This window comes from Homo sapiens, chromosome 7 (assembly GCF_000001405.40).
Source record: "Homo sapiens chromosome 7, GRCh38.p14 Primary Assembly".
NCBI lineage: Eukaryota > Metazoa > Chordata > Mammalia > Primates > Hominidae > Homo > Homo sapiens.
In genome coordinates, this window is record NC_000007.14 from 87,557,014 (window position 1) to 87,576,074 (window position 19,061).

Here is a 19,061-nt window from a genome sequence, read left to right on the forward strand (position 1 = left end):
ATCCCTCAGGTCTCAGCTGAGATGAAACCTCCTCAAAGAGGCCTGCCCCAACCACCGTATTTAAAGTTAACTTGACCATTCATCATCCTCACACTCTTTGATTCTTTCAGATCACATTTTTAAATCAATATTTTTATTTTTTTCTTTGACGATTCCTTATATTTCTTCCTCCCTTTCTCCATTCCTTCCATTTTTATCCATTTTACTATTTTGACTGAAGATCACAAAATAACCTCTGTTTCTGATTCACAGCTGAAAACCTAGAGCCCTAGCTTTGTTTAGAACTTTATAAAATAAAAAAGAAAAGAAAAGGAAAACCTAGAACCTAGCACAGTGCCTGGCATGTTGTAGGTGCTGAATAAATTTGTCAAATAAATAAACTTTAAAGAAATGGCCAACTTGGGAAGGACATTAGGCCATCAGTTTGTAGTCTTACGTCAATTCTTGATCTCCAAGCAAAATTAGTTTCAGTTCTCTGAAGGAGACTGCCCTTTCAAAGATACATTCAAGTAACTTATATTTTCTGAAGAAATGATTCCACATGTAAAATACTACTTAGAGCAAATATAGGAATCTCTGGATATAGCTGTGTAAGTCCATTTGTTTATTCTTCTAATTAAAATTTGATCATTTTTGCTAGGAAAAATATTTTCATATCTAACTAATTAAAGCACTCCATTAAATCTGAATCCCTTTAAACTTTCAGTGAACTAAAATATCAGATTTATCTAAGTTACAAATGTTGGGCTTCACTCCCACAATGTCCATTTCCTCCTTCTCAGGTTTTATTCCATCCATCATTATAGTTTTTGTTGCTAATAATGTCCTTAAAAATATTGTCAGTTCCTCAAATTTAAGATGTCTTTAATTGTAGCAAGTACTGGTATTCTGTCATTTTATAAAGCATTAAGAAATGAGTTTAATAGAACATTCCATATGCAGCTAGGACTCAAAGGGCTATACCTCAGTATATTAAGCAACACACAGCAGAACTTGCATGTCTCAGTCTTGGCACCAACCAGGTGAAGGAAGGAAAAAAACCTCCCTGAGAATCTGGACCACAAAGTAGGACTCATGCAGGTCTGAGCATGAATTCACACTACCAGTGTTGTCCAAAAACAACTAGACACATAATTTAATGTAAGGTGGTCTCAGGTTAGCAGTGCCCTTGGTGAATAGCAGAAGCAAACATAAATCCTGCCTGATAGAATTGGACTTCAATCCAGATCCATAGCAAATTTAAGATGGCACTGACTGTTAGGTTTATTTCCATTTCAGAGATGATGGATTCATTCTGAATGGATGAAATACTATATATTTTCTAATTGTTCATTCCTGGTTTACAGGAATGCCATTTATTCTGAATAATGATAGGTACCCAGAGATCTTATTGTATTTTGTTAGCTTATAAAACCTACTGGAATTTCTGTGTAGACAATCTTATCGTCTGTGAATAACGACAGTTTTCTTCCTATTTTCCAATACTTACTGTTTTTCTTTTTCGTTTTCTTTTTTTCATTCTTACTCTTATTTGTTTTATTGGTCTTATTATCTAGTACTAGTACAACAGTACATAGAAATGATAGTAAACACATTTGCCTCATTCATTATTTGTTTTTTATTTTTTAAATTGACAGACAAAATAGTATGTATTTATTTCATTCATTATTTTAAGTGTTAAAATATTTTTAATGTTTCACCACTAAATGTTTCCTGCGGGTCTCTAATATATTAAGAAGGTTGTTTCTTATTCCTAGTTTTACGAGTTTTTGTCATGAATCATATATAATTCATGCTTTTCCCCTTACATCACAACAAATTTTTTCTTTTAGTCTATTAATATGGTTAATTATATTAATAGATTTCCTAATGTTAAAACCATCTTTCCATTCATAGGATAAAGCCAACATGTTCAGGATGTTTTCAATTTGGTATTTTTCACATGGATTTATTTAGCTAATTATTTATTTATTTATAATTTCTGCATCTATGTTTTAGGTGAAACTGTCCTTTAGTTTTCCTTTCTCATATTATATCTGCCTGGTAATATAGTATCAAAGTTACACTAGCCCCATAAAATGAACTCACAACTTTTTTTTTCCATTTTCTACAACAATTTATGTAAGATAGGGTTATCTCTTTCTTGAAGTTGTGGTAGAACTTGCCTACAAAATTATCCAGACTTGTTTTGTGATTTCTGCTTGTGGGAGAGAAGCAGTGGAAAATGGAGATTTTTAACTTTGAATTCAATTATTTTAACGATTATGGGTTTACTCAGATCTTCTCCTTCTTAAGTGAGAGTTTTAACCTACATTTTTCTAGCATATTATCTATATCATGAGGGTTTTTAAATTTATTGGTATAAAGCTGCAATTTAAAAATAGATTTTTTAATCTGTTACAAGTTTTCCCTATTCATTCTTTTTTTGTTCCTGATTAAACATATAAAATAGTTATTTATAAGTCTTTTTAAAGAATTAGTTTATGGATATGTCAATCTTCCACTCTTTTGCCTTTATTTTCTATTAAATTAATTTTTGCTCTTACCCTTATTATTTCCTTCTAATATTTTATTTTTCTTTCCCTAACTTCTTGATTTAGATGTTTAGTTCTTTAATTTTCAATAATTTTGTATTTCTTCTACCAGATACTCTGGTATCACTGGATTAGGACTCATTTTTAATGTGAAATCCTCAGCTTTGGAGAGAGATTGTTTCCTACTTCACAGAGTAGTATAAATTCAGACCCCATCTGCAGATAGCAGTCAGGCCTGAGAATCTAACTTCTATGGGGAGATGTTTTCCTCCAGCTGAGAAACCAGGAAGAAGCTGTTAAGTTTTGTCTGTCTTCCAATGCTGTTGGGCTGTTGGGCATATTATTTTTCTGGTCCACCTTTTCTCTGAGGAAAACTGGAAAAGAATTCCAAACTCAAAACTTCATTATGTCTCTGCTCAAATATCAACTAATCAGAAAATATTTTTCTGAATAACTTATCTAAATAGTATCCTCATGATTCTCTTATTTTATTTCCCCAAATAATATTTACCCCAACTGGTGTATTACCTATTTGATTATTTGTGGTTGTCTGTAACCTTACCACCCCCATTAGAATTTAAGCTCCATGAGAGCCGGGGATTTATTTCATTGAATATTTGCTCAGTCATTAAGCAGGACTCCTCATTTTATTAGCCAGACATCTTTTAAAGCAAAAGCAAAGACTTTAGCAAAAATCAAAATGGAACATAGATATTGCTTTCCTTTGAACTATGGCACTTAACCATTATAAATTATTCTCAGAAGACATATATTTATATGTGTGAATATACCATAGAACAAAAGTACTCCAAACACATATGCACAGTTAAAAAAATTATGCAATGAATACTCATGTAAGTATACCTGAGATCAAGAAACAGAACACTGCCAGAACCACAGAATCCCCTGCTGTGTGTTCGGCTCTCCTTACACAACTTCTCATCTTCCCTAGAGCTAACCATTATTCTGATTTCTGAAAATTCCCTTGGTTTTCTTCATGGCTGTACCAAACAATGTATAACCCCCTTAACCAATACAGTTTACTTTTTCATACCTTCAAAGATATTTATATTCATAAGATTGAAGTGTTATAGCATCAGAATATTATAATTTATATTCAATTTTACATAAAATCTGTTGCTGCTTAGAAATCAGTAATCTGATTTATATTCTAAATTTCAATAAATTACCATCTATGCTTTCAGAAATCTAATAAAAGGGAACAGTTGTAAGCATAATACTAAACAACACATAATATAAAAGATTTTGAACTTTTGTACACATAAGTGCTTTTTGGTTATATTTTTATCTTCCAAATCATGTAGCATATGTCAGCTGAATAGGGGCAGAAAGGAAAATGAACCACGGATTAAAATGTCCCCATAGATCTTACACAAAATACTCAGTCAATATTAGAGAATCACTAATTAACTTGATAGAGGAAAAAAATCAGAGGTATAAAATACATTTCAGTCTTTGGAAACTATTTTTATGTTATTGCCCATCTAGAAAACTCTTTGAATTAGCAGATAAAAGAAAAGTACAATTAGAATTGCAACTTCTCCAAAATATTAGTTATGCTGTAATACATCCATTAAGCTATTTAAGAAAACATATATATGGGAGAAAATGCTTATAAATAACACTGTCAATCTGAAGGGCATTTGAGAAGACAGAATTTAACATATCTATCCATTTAAAAAAGAAACTCAAACCTTTCAAGTTCTTTCTTTTGTCCTCCAAATGCAATCACAGTTCTAATTGCTGCCAAGACCTCTTCAGCTACTGCTCCAGCTTTTGCATACGCTAAGAGTTCTTTATCAGTAAATGAAGATAGTATCTGTTTAAAAATACAATTTTGGATCATGAAAAAAACACGTTAATTTTATCTTTTGTAAAGTAAAAATAAATGTATACATAAATGCTGCTTATACATTAATGCATGTGTAGAGCAAAATCTGTCTTTTACTTGCCTTTGGTCTGTATTAACAGCCACTGAAGTAAACCTCTCCCTGAAACCAGCCACTGATGCATGAACTTGGGTCCCAGAGGGTCCTATTATGAAAGCTGGATCAATTGCAATGGGAAAAGGGCTAACGTTATTGTACCTAGAATGCTGAAGTGGTCAACTACCTAAATAAAGATTACACATGACAGGCCAGGTGTGGTGGCTCACACTTGTAATCCTAACATTTTAGGATGCCAAAGATGAATAATTGCTTGAGCCCAGGAATTCTAGACCAGCCTGGGCAGCATGGCAAGACCCCGCCTCTACAAAAAAATTAAAAATTAGCTAGGTGTGGTGGCACATGCCTATTGTCTCAGCTACTCAGGAGGCTGAGGTGGGAGGATCGTTTGAGCCTAGGAGGACGAGGCTGCCGTGAGCAGTGGTTGTGCCACTGCAGTCCAGCCTGGGCAACAGAGTGAGACCCTGTTCTCCCCACCCCTCCCCCAAAATTACACAAAACCAATTTATTTTAAAAATTCTGATTAAATAGAATTATATTCTTTCAATAAAAAATTCATAGGCACTTGTGGACTCATTTATGTAAGTAACATTGATCTATCCCTTCTTGGCATAAAAAGCTCAAAGTTGTTTGGGTTTTGACAGTGGATTTCTCCCTTTCCTGTGTGTGAAAGTAAAAGGAGCTATGACAGCTAGAGGAATGGGTGGATGAAGGCAAATGAACATTGATTAGTTATGTTCTAAGTGCAGACATTGTGCTGCACGTACCTAGCCTCTTTAGTACCCAAAATAATATTCCATTGATTCACTAGACATTCCTGACTTCTCAAAGCAATCTTCCTGGGGCTGTCCCACCATATTTGCAGAACCATTCACGGTAGGAGGTCTGAGATAGGGTGGCCAGCGCCATCCCTTAACAAACATCTGTAGAATAGAGGAGGCTCATACAACATGCTTTAGGAATGTTTTTCTGCTCCTTCTGAAACCTCATGGTGCCACAACAATTGCCACAATGGAGACAACCAAAAATAGGAAGATCACTTCAAAGTGATACTTTAAAGAAATACTTTAAAGTTAGGAGTGTTTAAAAATGTTATTTTAATTTATTATTAATATATCAAACACCACAATGAATTCTACAAATCTAGCTCCCTTTTCCTTCTATGACCTTCCATCATTATAAGCAGACAAAAGTATGGTTGAATCTTCATTAAGTGTTGTGTTTTTCAGGAGATCATGTCTGTGAAAAGAAAAAAAAAAAAAAAAAGACCCTCTAACCTATCCTATTATCAAGGATATGAAAAGGCCAGGTGTGATGACTCACACCTATAGTCCCAGGACTTTGGGGTGACAAGTGGGAGAATCACTTGAGGCCAAGAGTTCACGACCAGCCTGGGCAACACATAGAAACCCCATCTCTACAAAAAAATTAAAAACTAGCTGGACATGGTAGTACACAACACAGTCATGATGCAGAACAATTCAGTCACAAGGATCCCATCAGAGAATATTATGAATGCTTCTGTGCACATAAACTAGAAAATCTAGAATAAATGGATAAATTACTGAACACATACATCCTCCCAAGACTGAACCAGGAAGAAATAAAATCCCTGAACAGACCAATAAAGAGTTCTGAAATTGAGGCAGTAATAATAGCTTACCACCCCCTAAAAAAGCCCAGGACCAGATGAATTCATGGCTGAATTCTGCCAAATGTAAAAAGAAGAGCTGATACCATTCCTACTGAAAATGTTCCAAAAAATTTAGGTGGAGGGACTCCTCTCTGACCCATTCTATGAGGCCAGAATAATCCTGATACCAAAACCTGGCAGAGATACAACAACAAAAAAACTTTGGGCCAGTATCCTTGATGAACAAATATGATACAAATATCCTCAGCAAAATCCTGGCAAACTGAATTCAGCAGCACATCAAAAAGCTTATCTACCATGATCAAGTAGGCTTTATCCTCAGGATGCAAGTTTGGCTCAACAGATGTAAATCAATAAATGTGATTCATCACATAAACAAAAGCACTTGCTTATCTCAATAGATGCAAAAAGTCTTTCAATAAAATGCAACATCCACTCATGATCAAAACTCTCAACAAACAAGGTATTAAAGGAACACACCTCAAAATAATAAAAGCCATCTATGACAAACTTACAGCTAACATTATACTGAATGGGCAAAAGCTGGAAGCATTCCCCTTGAAAACTGGCACAAAACAAGGATGGAATCAACCTAAATGCCCATCAATGATAGACTGGATAAAAAAAAAATGTGGTACATAGACACCATGGAATACTATGCAGCCATAAAAAAAATGAGATCATGTCCTTTGCAGGGACATGGATGGAGCTGGAGGCCATTATGCTTAGCAAACTAACTCAGGAACAGAAAACTAAATACTGCATGTTCTCACTTATAAGTGGGAGCTAAATGATGAGAACACATGGATACATAGAGGGGAACAACACACACTGGGGCCTATTAGAGGGTGGAGAGTGGGAGGAGGGAGACAGTCATTAAAAATAACTAATGGGTACTAGGCTTAATACTTGGGTAATGAAATAATCTGTATAACAAATGCCCATGACACAAGTTTCCTATGGAACAGACCTGCACTTACACCCCTGAACTTAAAATAAAAGTTTTAAAAAGTTAAAATAAAATAAACCTGCCTTACTCTAGCCGGCAGTTGTTCCATTGAAGTTTAGCATGATAGTATTGGTCTACTTTTGTGAGCTGTGGTTCCAGGAGCGGTTTAATATTCAGAGTGTTTGTAGTATTATTTTGGTCGGCTTGATTTATGTGAAGCTTCTGGGGCTCCCACTGGCCCCTGCTTCTGCTGCTTGAGGGAGTGAAAGTGGTTTTTCAAGATCAGACTGCCAGGTCGGGAAGAGTGTGGTGGTTTCCTGTACCAATGCCCTCTAGTGGCCCAGTGTCTCTGGGCGCTGGGAAGACAGTCTTGGGCACAAAGTACAAAAGAGGCTTCCTGGGCCAGGTCACTTGCTGTGATTGGGTCCCTTTCTGCTATATCTATTTGCTTCTGTGTCTCTAGGTTTGAAGGTAGAGCCTCAGGCTCACAGACACAAAGAGGCTTCCCAGACACAGAGTGAACTACATTTCTTTTTTGATATGATTGACATCCAAAGAATTTAAGAAATTTGTTTGAAATGATACCAAAAGTGTAATGCTGAGTGAGGATTAAAGCTTAGGTCTCTAGCAGCCAGCCTGGGGCTCCTTTTACTAAATAAATGGCATGTGAAGCAATGCATAATTAATCATTAAAAGATTAACTCATGGTCTGTTTTTAATCTTAAAACAGACATCAAAACATTTTAAGTAATTTTTCAACAAATACTGATGTGAAGAGTTTGCCACCTAACTTGCTTAACATTCTAGTATACAGAAAAATCAATTGACAAGAAGCTTTTGCCAAATATTTTAGTTAACTGATAATCCCCAGAAACATTATTTGAACTCTATGTTACTCTGAGCAAAAAATTAACAGAGACCTGAGAACTTCAGTTTCTTTCTCTGTAAAGTGAGATAATACCTATACTTCAGAAAGATAACACAGGCATTTGCGTGACAATAAATGCTCAATAAATGATAATTATTATTTGCAGAAACAAAATAATATCCATTATACAGGTTAAAATTTCTACAGTTTCTTAATACTTACTACCTGACTTATTTTGTGTGATGCTTGGTTTTGGTTGTCCATTCATTACTTTTGCTACATGAATTTATATTGCCTTATCTGAGTTGTGTTGAACTCCACAAAAATTACATACTGGGCCAATTTCTCTACTGAAAATACACTCATATCAAATCAGTTTAAAATTAACACCATGTTCACCTTGAAATGGAAAATAAGTTTTAAAAGATCACTGGAAACGTGTGCTGGGGTAGAGAGGGCCACTTCTACCTCTCTGCCTTCATGACAGGAGAGAGAGCTGAAGGCCAAGGATTTATATGCATCCTTAGGGACTAGAAAGTATCTGTTTTCTTAAATTATTTTATAACCAAAAATTTAACTGTGTTTGAATGCTGACAAAACTGTAAAATCAATTTAAAACTTAAACAAAAATCTAGAAAGCCAAAAACATTAAAGTAAAAAAAAATGTTAATTGAATGGGACATCTGTAGTTCACTAAACTTGAGTCTCTACTTGCCGTGTGAATGGGGCATCATCCACTAGAGAGCATGGTTCTTTGGAGTTCAAGTTTTTTTTTTTTGTTTTGTTTTTGTTTTTGTTTGTTTACTTGCTCGTTTTCTTACAAAGGCAGAAGGTAGATATGAGAGCTACATTCTTCTTTCTCATCCCTTCCCCAAATAATCACATGGCCAAGAACAGCATGGAGTCTTGGCAGGGGTAGTACTCAGTGAGGCTGGATATGCTTATCCAGCTGATTTTGAACAGAAAACGTAAAAGTAACAAGTACAGAATCAGAGTCATCATGTAGTAAAAAGACCTTTCCGTAGGGTGAGAGCAGGAAGGGAGAAGGTGCAGTTCAAAATCTGGATTCACAGGCTTCACCTACCTTTGCCCAGACAGCAGCTGACAGTCCAAGAACAGGACTGATGGCCAAAATCACAAGGGTTAGCTTCCAACCACGTGTAAATCCTACTATAAACCCAGTGAAAAATGTTGCCATTGACTGAAAGAACATTCCAATTTTGTCACCAATTCCTTCATTAATCTTGGAGACATCACTGAAAGAACAGATAGTGTTAGAAATAATTGTCAGAATTGTAAACATCAACTTTTCTCGTGAAGCCTGTTTTGAGTGTAGGGTAGTTTATGGCTAGAGTATTTTGTGCCTATGCTTTGTTTTATTTAGCAGGGTAGAAGTTTCTACTAGGATATTTGTCATTAACAACAAAAATCCATAGCCCACATGGCCCCAGGAAATGGACATCGTGTACACAAGAAGTATTCAACCTAGGAATTTCAAATTGCTCAGAAATTTCCTCAGAAAGTATCTTGTTTTGCTCTACTGCACATTCTCAGAGGATTTCTTCATTCTGGCAAAGCCCAGTCCTTCATTTAATGCTAGTCATGCAGGTCCCCCCATACCCTGTCAAGGCACTGGGAACAAAAGGATGCACACGACATTGTTGCTGCTTAGAAGGAATTTTGTCTCATAAGTACCTTTGAATGATACATTAACACCTCCTAACAGATGTGATGACATCTATTTCATTTTACTAAGGATAAGAACGACACCCAAGTTCAACATAAAACTAAATACTTACTCTGTAAGTCGGGTGTTAAGCTCCCCAACATCGTGCACATCAAACCAGCCTATCTCCTGTCGCATTATAGCATGAAAAAACTGTTTTCTAATTTTGTGTATTTGTCTTCCAGCTGCCAGGCACCAAAATGAAACCTGAATGTAAGCAGCAACCAGCACCCCAGCACCAATTCCACTGTAATAATAGGCATACCTGAAAAACAACAAGAACACTGCACATGCTCTCTGTTTCCTAATCAATGTACCTTTTCCAAAGAGACCACTCATTCCTATTTTTTCACTTATCTGGGTATCTCGCCATCCTTAACAAATAAGAAGGGGTTGTAACAAGCAGAGTTGATAGTCACCATCCAACTATGTTTGCACCAATATGGTGGAATGGTTAAGAATGATTTCTGCTTTGGCTCAAATCCCAGCTCTTCACTTCACTGTTATGTAATCTTAGGCAAGCTGCTTAACTTTTCTAAGCCTCAGTTTTCTAATTAGTAAAACAGAGATAAAAATACTCATGCATGAAATATACTTGGACCAGTGCCCAGCACATAGTAAGCACTCAGAGAATGCCAGTTACTGTGAAAGATGGTGTGGTATATTGGGGAATCACAGCATCAGGTAAGACCCACCACTGTAATATTTTTATTACATCAGCATCAGTTGATAAGTGCATTGGGTTGGTCTCTGTACATTGGGGATGAAAAGAAGTGACAGAACTTGTCAGAAAGTGGGATCAAGAAATGGAAATAATCCCTTGGCCTTTTGGGCTAGGGATTATCCCTTGGGCTATTAATCTAGTAGAGTTTAGATGCCAAGAGACAAATGAAATTTTTAAAAAGTAGTTTTATTTCATTTGCCCAACTGGCCATCGTGAGTTATCCTAAAATGCTTAACGAATCAAATAGTGGCCCTTCCAATTTAAATTCTAGCATTAAAAAACACGAGTATTGTCTTAAAAAACAGACCCTTAATCAATCTAGAAATCCTGAATTAATGTTTCCTTGCTCTGAGTTTTCATATTTAAAAAAGCAAACAGGCCAGGCGTGGTGGCTCACGCCTATAATCCCAGCACTTTGGGAGGCCGAGGCAGACAGATCACAAGGTCAGGAGTTGGAGACCACCCTGGCCAATATGATGAAACCCTGTCTCTACAAAAAATACAAAAAAATTAGCCAAGCGTGGTGGCGTGCGACTGTAGTCCCAGCTACTTGGTTACTTGGGAGGCTGAGGCAGAAGAATCGCTTGAGCCCAGGAAGCAGAGGTTGCCGGGAGCCGAGATCGTGCCACTGCACTCCAGCCTGGGTGACAGAGCTGGACTCCATCTCAAAAAAAAAAAAAGAAAAGCAAACAATTCACACCTGTAATCCCAGCACTTCGGGAGGCCAAGGTGGGCGGATCATGAAGTCAGGAGTTCGAGACCAGCCTGACCAAAGTGGTGAAATCCCGTCTCTACTAAAAATACGACAATAATAATAATAATAATAATAATAAAAATTAGCCGGGTGTGGTGGTGCACACCTGTAATCCCAGCTACTCAGGAGGCTGAGGCAGGAGAATCGCTTGAAGGCAGAAGTTGCAGTGCACAGAGATCGTGCCACTACACTCCAACCTGGGTGACAGAGTAAAACTCCATCTCAAAAAAAAAAAATGCAAACAATTCTTGGGCTTCACTAAACAATTAATTTTTAGGTTAAAGGCAAACATTCTAAAATAAAATACAGTATTCCAATATTCCCACTTTTTAAACTTCACTACTTACCATCTTCAAATTAAACTGTGTGTTTGAATCATGCAGAAGCTATAAAGATGGCTAGGTAACAAGCAGACAGTCTCTGACATTGCTGTTCACAATTCAGCACTCAGCCCATCAGGAATCTTGGGAAACAAGTTTTCCCCAAACTCTACCTTGTAACTTACAATGCATTTATCAAGGAAGATGTAATTAGAACACTAAGTTTTAGTTAACAGATAACTCAATAACTAATTACTATCTAAGTGTTCATGATACAACAAGAGATAGTATTCTATCTAAGTGTTCATTATATAGCAAGAGATAGCTAATAGAAACCCCACATCACAAGGAAAACTCATGCTTTGAGAATAAGTTAATGTATTTTAAACTGTCAGTGTATGTTTACTCAAAAGCATGTACATGATGATTAAAAGACATTCTGTTTCATTTTCCCCAATGTAAAAAACAATGCCTCTCCACAGGAATATTTGGAGGTATTTGGTCCTCAGCTTTCAAAATATGATAAAGTGTCTCCATTTTCGGCAGGGCATGGCGGCTCACACCCGTAATCCCAGCACTTTGGAAGGCCAAGGTGGGTGGATCACCTGAGGTCAGAAGTTCAAGGCCAGCCTGGGTAACATGGTGAAACCCCATCTCTACTAAAAATACAAAAATTAGCTGGGTGTAGTGACACACGCCTGTAATCCCAGCCACTTGGGAAGCTGAGACACAAGAATCGCTTGAAGCCAGGAATCGAAGGTCGCAGTGAGCCGAGATCGCACCACTGCACTCCAGCCTGGGGGACAGAGTGACACTCTGTCTCAAAAAAAAAAAAAAAAAAAAATCTATTTTTTTCAAATGTACCCAGATCATTTACACAGTAATGTAAAATCATTTTCTTCTGATTCACCTACACGTACCTTTGGACATCTGTTATAAGCTGTTCTGGAGAATAAACTTCAAGATATGTAAATCATTAACCAAAAGCTTCCCCAGTGTGAGTTAAGAATAGAGAGACTGTATTTTTTCTGGGATGTTTTATTTTATTGTTCAGAATCAGATGTTGAGTTTAAAAAAAATTTCTTTTGGCTGCTTTCATTGTCATGTCGTATGAAAACATCCAGGAAACAAATTAATAATTATAAGCCATTGAAAATAATTATTCTGTCTCTCTCTTTTTTTGTGGGGGGGTGTGGGGGACAGGGTCCTGCTCTTTCCCCCAGGCTGGAGTGCAGTGATGTGATCATAGCTCACTGCAGCTTTGAACTCCTGGGCTCAAGCAATCCTCTCACATCAGCCTCCCAAGTAGCTAGGACTGTAGCTATGTGCCACCACACCTGGCACATATATATTATAGAAAATAATGATTCTTAATTCAACTGCATTTTAAAAGACTACCTTAAACTCCTCTAATTTCCTTATATATTAATATGATATTCTACATTGATCAATGCATATATGTCCATTTTAAGCTTAACTCTAACTTTTGTATACTTTATGCAGCCAATTCTTTTCTTAAAAAGTCTACATATACTCTTCTAAAAACTATCAAGAGTATTGTTCTCCTTAAAATTTCTGTGATGATAATGCAAAGTTTTAAACATTTCTACAACTTGATGAATATAGAAAAACTTAACAATAGTAAGGAGAATGTCTAATTACCTGGTCATGTCTTCCTCCAGATTCATGAAGAACCCTGTATCATTGATATCACCTAGACCACCACAAAACAAACATACCATTTATGTCTCTTTAGTCTCCATTAAAAATAAACATGTAAAAATGAATCAAACTCATTTCATTTAATGATTTACATAAAAATAGGTCGAACTGACTCAGTTTTAATTGTGTGTAAGCATTATGGCATTCATTCAAATACTTCTCTGCTGACTGTGTGCAACCACATATACACCAACTCAGTGATGTTTATTTGCAAGAAGAAACCCACATTTGGTAAGAGGTAGTCTGTCAGCAGAAATATCAGTGTCCTTGAATTAAAATATTTTTTGGAATATCACTCCAAGATCCCACTAAAGAAAAATCTTTTGTCCTGATAAATGCCATTGAGTACTTGGTACTAAGGTATATATTTAAAATCTTAGCATTTTTCCAGTTTTATTCTTATTTAAAAATATCAAATACAAAGAACAGTGTAATAAACACCAGTGAGCTCATCACCCAATATTAGCAAATGCTAACATTTTTGGATAAAAAGTACATTATAAAAGTATTTCATAACTTTACCCCTAACACACAGACACACACACACACACTCAGACACATATACACACACGAGCACAATTCAACATTTTTGTGTGTACATTTTCAGATTTTATGTACGCATGTATATACACACAAGCACACACACTTATTTTTTAACAATGGAGTCATAGTTTACATTTAGTGGCCAAATTTTTTCCTGTCAGTATATATATGTGTGTATCTATTTTTTCAATGTTGCAACTATTTCACTTGTTTCCAATATTTTACTGTTACAAGCAATGCTGTGTTAAACATACTTATACACATATGTTATAAATGTACAAAGAGTAAATATTTTCTAGGATAAATTATCACAATCGAGACTGCAAAAAGTTATGTTAAAATGAAAGGGCCTGTTTCAGTTGAGTCTGATTTCAACTGGTATGGAAAAGAGGGGAAAAACTATTTCTAGCAAAGTGAACAATATGGACAAAAGTCAACGGCAAGTTTGAAGAATGGGTAAGCCTGTTTTTGACAGGGGTAGGAAGTGTGTTGTGTGGATGGAGGGAGGTGGTTATGTAGCTGGAAAGATAATCTGGGTCCTGCAGGTATGGTGCAAGAAAACAGACCAGCAGTTGTTCGACAGTTTTGAGCAAAATAGGATATAATTAGAAGTATGTTCTACGAGAGTTTAGCCACCAGCAATGTATACGATTAACTGGAATGTGGAGAGACTAAGGGACTTCAGCTACTATAACTATGTAGGGAAAGAGAGTCTAAATGAGAATAGAAAAGAAAGCAAATACTTATGAGACTTATAGAGGAAGAAGTTACAGGACTTAGCAACTGATAGAATATAAGTAGAGAGAGTAAAAATTTTAAAAATGATCAAAACATCAAGCCTAAGCATTTGGAGAATGCTAGTGTCATGGTGGGAAATAAGAAGTCAGCAAAAAGAGCTACCCTGGTCAGAGGAGAGATTATTAGTTTGGTCTTGAACATTTTTGTTTTGCAGTGCCTGGCACATTCAATTGAAGATGTCCAATAAGTATTCAGACCGTAACTTTCCAGTTTTAGAGACAGTTCAGATCTAAAGATTTAGGATTCATGTGCTAGAGGCCATAGCTAAATCCATCTCTCCTTACCCATAAGGACAGGCCAGCAGATAGGGAGAAAACAGCAGGCCAAGCACAGAATCCTGGAGAAAACTCCATTAAAGGGTAAGACAGAAGGTAAGGAAGAAACAAAGAGATGCAGAAGCTTAGAAAAACATGCAAGAGGGATTCTTGACTGCTTTGCCTTATGTCAATACAACAATAAACTTTTTCAGATTGAATTTTTATTTAAATCAGTTGTGAGATTTCTTCTGCTCCACGTTTTCAAAAATGAAACAGGACATTGAATAGTCAGGTGAGGATTTTTCTCCAAATCAATCTTGGGAAAGCTTACATTATGTATCTTCTGTATTTACCAGGAAATGTCTCTATATAGTATTAATTGTTGCCAGTATGTCACTACCAAATGAAGACCAGTTTTCAAGTCTAACTAAATATCTGTTTTCTACTCATTGTTTCTACCAGTTTTCTCAATTCTTAAGATAAGAAACCAAGATAATTTAAATAAATGTTCTTCAGCAATGATGTCTTCTAAGTCTACAGTCATTTCTAAATAGCTCAAAAAGTAAAAAATTTTGTTCAAGGTCAAAATTGCCTCCTTTATGTTTGTATGTCCAATTACACCATACCTATAGCTTCAGCCATCAAAATACATAGAAAACAAGTCTAGCACCAAGTTCCTTTTATTTGTGCTTCACCTTTCAAAGTGTACCAGTCAAAATAAAAATTGGGCATTCAACAAAGAAGTATAAATAATTCTATTATAAAGACACATGCATGCATATGTTCATTGTAGCACTATTCACAAAAGCAATAAACCTAAATGCCAATCAATGACAGACTGGATAAAGAAAATGTGGTACATAGATGCCATGGAATACTATGCAGCCATAAAAAAGAATGAGATCATGTCCTTTGCAGGGACAGGGAGGGGGCTGGAGGCCATTATCCTTAGCAAACTAACACAGGAAGAGAAAACCAAATACCACGTTTTCACTTATAAGTAGGATCTAAATGATGAGAACACATGGACACACAGAGGGAAACAACACACACTGGAGACTTTTGGAGTGTGGAGGGTGGGGGGAGGGAGAGAATCAGGAAAAATAACTAGTGGGTACTAGGCTTAATACCTGGGTGATGAAATAATCTCTACACAAAAACCCCATGACACACATTTACCTATGTAACTATATTAGTCTATTCGTATGCTGCTGATAAAAACATACCTGAGACTGGGTAATTTATAAAGAAAAAGAGGTTTAATGCACTCATAGTTCCACATGGCTGGGGAGGCCTCACAATCATGGCAGAAGGCAAAGGAGGGGCAAAGGCATGTCTTACATGACGACAGTCAAGAGGGCACATGCAGGGGAACTCCCATTAATAAAACCATCATCCTTTATGCAGTGGACTGTCATTGAAGGTTATCACCAGTTTGTAGGACCTCATTATCCTGGTTCTCCTACTTCCACCACTCTGATGCTTCTCCCTTAGTCTCAGTTACTGACCCCTTATGCTCTCCCTCTTTCCTACACACTGATGTTTCCCAGAACTCTATGCAGGCTCCAGGCTGACCTCAGCCACTTCCACAGCTTCAGTGACTCCAAAATATATCTAGAGCTATTCAAATCCTCTCCCTCTTCACAGTTAATGCTCTGGTTCAAGTCCCCATCATTTCTTACCTCTCCTGTAACAAGACTACTGTAACTAATCTTTCTACCCCAGTTAGGTCTTCATATTGTCCCCAGATTTTATATTTGAAAGCAAAAGTATAATCATAGTGCTTCCATTGATAACCTTCAATGACAGTCCACTGCATAAAGGATAAAGATCAAGATCCATGATACATCATATTAGTTCTTTTGCAATCTTGCCACAATATACACATGAAAGAAAATATGTTTAAAGTACCAACAATGATTTACCAGATATTTCCTTTACCCCCACACCTATCTCCTCATTTCAGTAGCTAGAGCACTGTGCAGTCACTGTCTTCAGAGAGAGCTGCTGCTGCATTAAAAAAATTTATATATGTAATAAAAGCCAAGAAGAAACCTACACGATATATATATATAAAATGTTCCCAAAGCCTATGCCTTTGAGGGTTGGAGAGGAAACTGAGCATGACAGAATATTTTGTTTAAATTTCATGAGATTAAGCTCCACCCTTTAGACTGAAAAAATATTTTCCACATGCTGAGAAGAAAATAAGTAGTTGAGAATTGCTGACTACATAGGCACTGGAGGGTCCAGGTAAAAGAAGCCTGCCTCCTTCCACCTAAGCAGACCCTAGAGCAAGACCTCAGAAAAGGAAATATGTAGTGAGTTGAAGGGACGGCTTTAGAACAGCTTCCAAGAATCTCCTTGGACCTAGAGAGACACGGAAGGAACAGAATGACATCAAAGCTTCTAAGAGAGGAGGACGAGAGAGCTTGACGGAATGCCTATGTAGATGATGATGCTGAACAACACTTGGCCTTCTCACTCATCTGAAACTATGTTGGCCTCCAAGACACACCCCAGGGAAAGGTGAGAGCTACCCCAAAATAACTGAGATTGGGTTTTTGCCACATTTACTGAAGAGGGACTCAAAATAGAAATTATGTTATACAAAATAAAAGTTATGATTTTTGCACACTTGGATTCTGGAATAATAGTTACATTTGCTACATCCCTTTCTAGCGTCAACTCACTCCACTCCCCCATCCCCATCTTCACCAGCTTTGCTCACTTCTGTGTAGCCCTGGCTGTAAGCACACCGAAGAGTTTACTGTTCCCTAACTATCCTATTTTCTTCCTTCAAGGCTTTATCCATTCTGCTTTCTCTAACTGGAATGCCCTTTATCAAAATTTTTCTCCTGGAATATACTCTTCCTCCATGAATAAACTAAAGTATTACATCATCTTACCCCTAGCAGAGTGACTCATCTTGCAATAGAACTCCGTAGTAATTGACAGATGATTCAACTTACTAAGTCATACAAAAATAGAAGTATGACTATTTACACCTATCTCTTCCTCCCACTCCCACTGGTGTGAGGTCATAGAAAACTGAACTATATCTAGTTTATCTTTATATATCCAGTGCCCAACCTGTTGTATCTGCTATAACTTAGCATATTCAAAAAATTTACGAGTGGTTTCACAGAGCTACTACACAAGCCAGACCATTTATCAAAATATTCCATCCAACCATTCTCCTACTTTGTATACAAGTGTCTCACATATTTTAAGATTAAAGAGAGATACATTAGACCTTTCTACCTGGCAAGAAAAGCCTTTTCTAAACCCAAGCAAGACTTTAAAGGATAAGACTGTACCATTTAGGGATTTTTTATTTGACCTAAATACTTCAGTACATTTAGTAACTTTAATAACTGAACACTTAAGAACAGTATGAATAAAAAATATATAACATGGATACATTAGTATAGTCTTATCCTTTGATGATGCATTGATAATTCCCTAATTGGTAAACTGAAATTATATTGAAAAGGTGGTTTTCAAACTGTCTTCCACAGAGACTTCATGCCAGGCATCATTCCAGACACTGAAGATAAACCCAGAATGAGAGCCACTTTCTCTAATATCATCGGATTTCTGTTCAAGTAAGAAATCCTTTCACTTTTAGGCCTCAAACTTCAGGTGACAGGGTAACACTGCTGACCTATTTAGCACAGTTTTTCCCAGGAACTTCCGTTTTTTTTTCATTTAGCTTTTCTACCCATTTAAGAAGCTCTAATAAACCAATAAACTACTCTTCTTGTGCAGAAAGCTCCATCAACCGCAGGGAAGGGGAATTTGGATCTTTTGCCTAAATGATAAATCCCTATGGCATTGGCCCAAACTGAAGGCTGTGACTCAGTGTAGTTGGGCTTACTGCAGGTGACAGAGATGATTCCAGGAACTACAGTCTTTTTATGTGAGCTGTTTATATACCTCTGGCCTGAAGAGCTGTGCCTCTTGCCTGACCTTCCTGACACACTAAAAATCAAACTTACAGGGCAGCATCCAAGAGATTTAAAAGACCAAGTGCTGGCATTTGCTTCCAATTTAGGCAGAGTGTGAAAACCACTAGCAGAGTGGAAAAGATACCAGACTAAAAAGTAGGATTCCTGGCCCAGGAATTCAGCTCTGTCAACCCGCAAGCAATTCCATTATGGCCACATTAATTCAACCTCCTGGGCATGTATGTCTATAAATTATGGGTTCAGGCTAGATAACATCTAAGCCCCTTTTCACCTA

At 36.7% G+C, this 19,061-nt stretch overlaps 1 protein-coding gene across 4 annotated transcripts in view; it reads right to left on the reverse strand.

Annotated features, from left to right (window-relative positions):
* Positions 1 to 19,061, reverse strand: part of ABCB1 (ATP binding cassette subfamily B member 1) — a 210,279-nt gene that overhangs the window by 53,997 nt on the left and 137,221 nt on the right. For all 4 annotated transcript variants that reach the window (NM_001348944.2, NM_000927.5, NM_001348945.2 and 1 more), the window contains 4 exons: positions 13,159 to 13,210; positions 9,772 to 9,963; positions 9,057 to 9,228; positions 4,250 to 4,374 (listed from right to left, as the gene is read on the reverse strand). In NM_001348944.2, the coding sequence (NP_001335873.1) occupies positions 4,250 to 4,374; positions 9,057 to 9,228; positions 9,772 to 9,963; positions 13,159 to 13,210 (541 nt within the window). The remainder of the gene's footprint in view (positions 1 to 4,249; positions 4,375 to 9,056; positions 9,229 to 9,771; positions 9,964 to 13,158; positions 13,211 to 19,061) is intronic.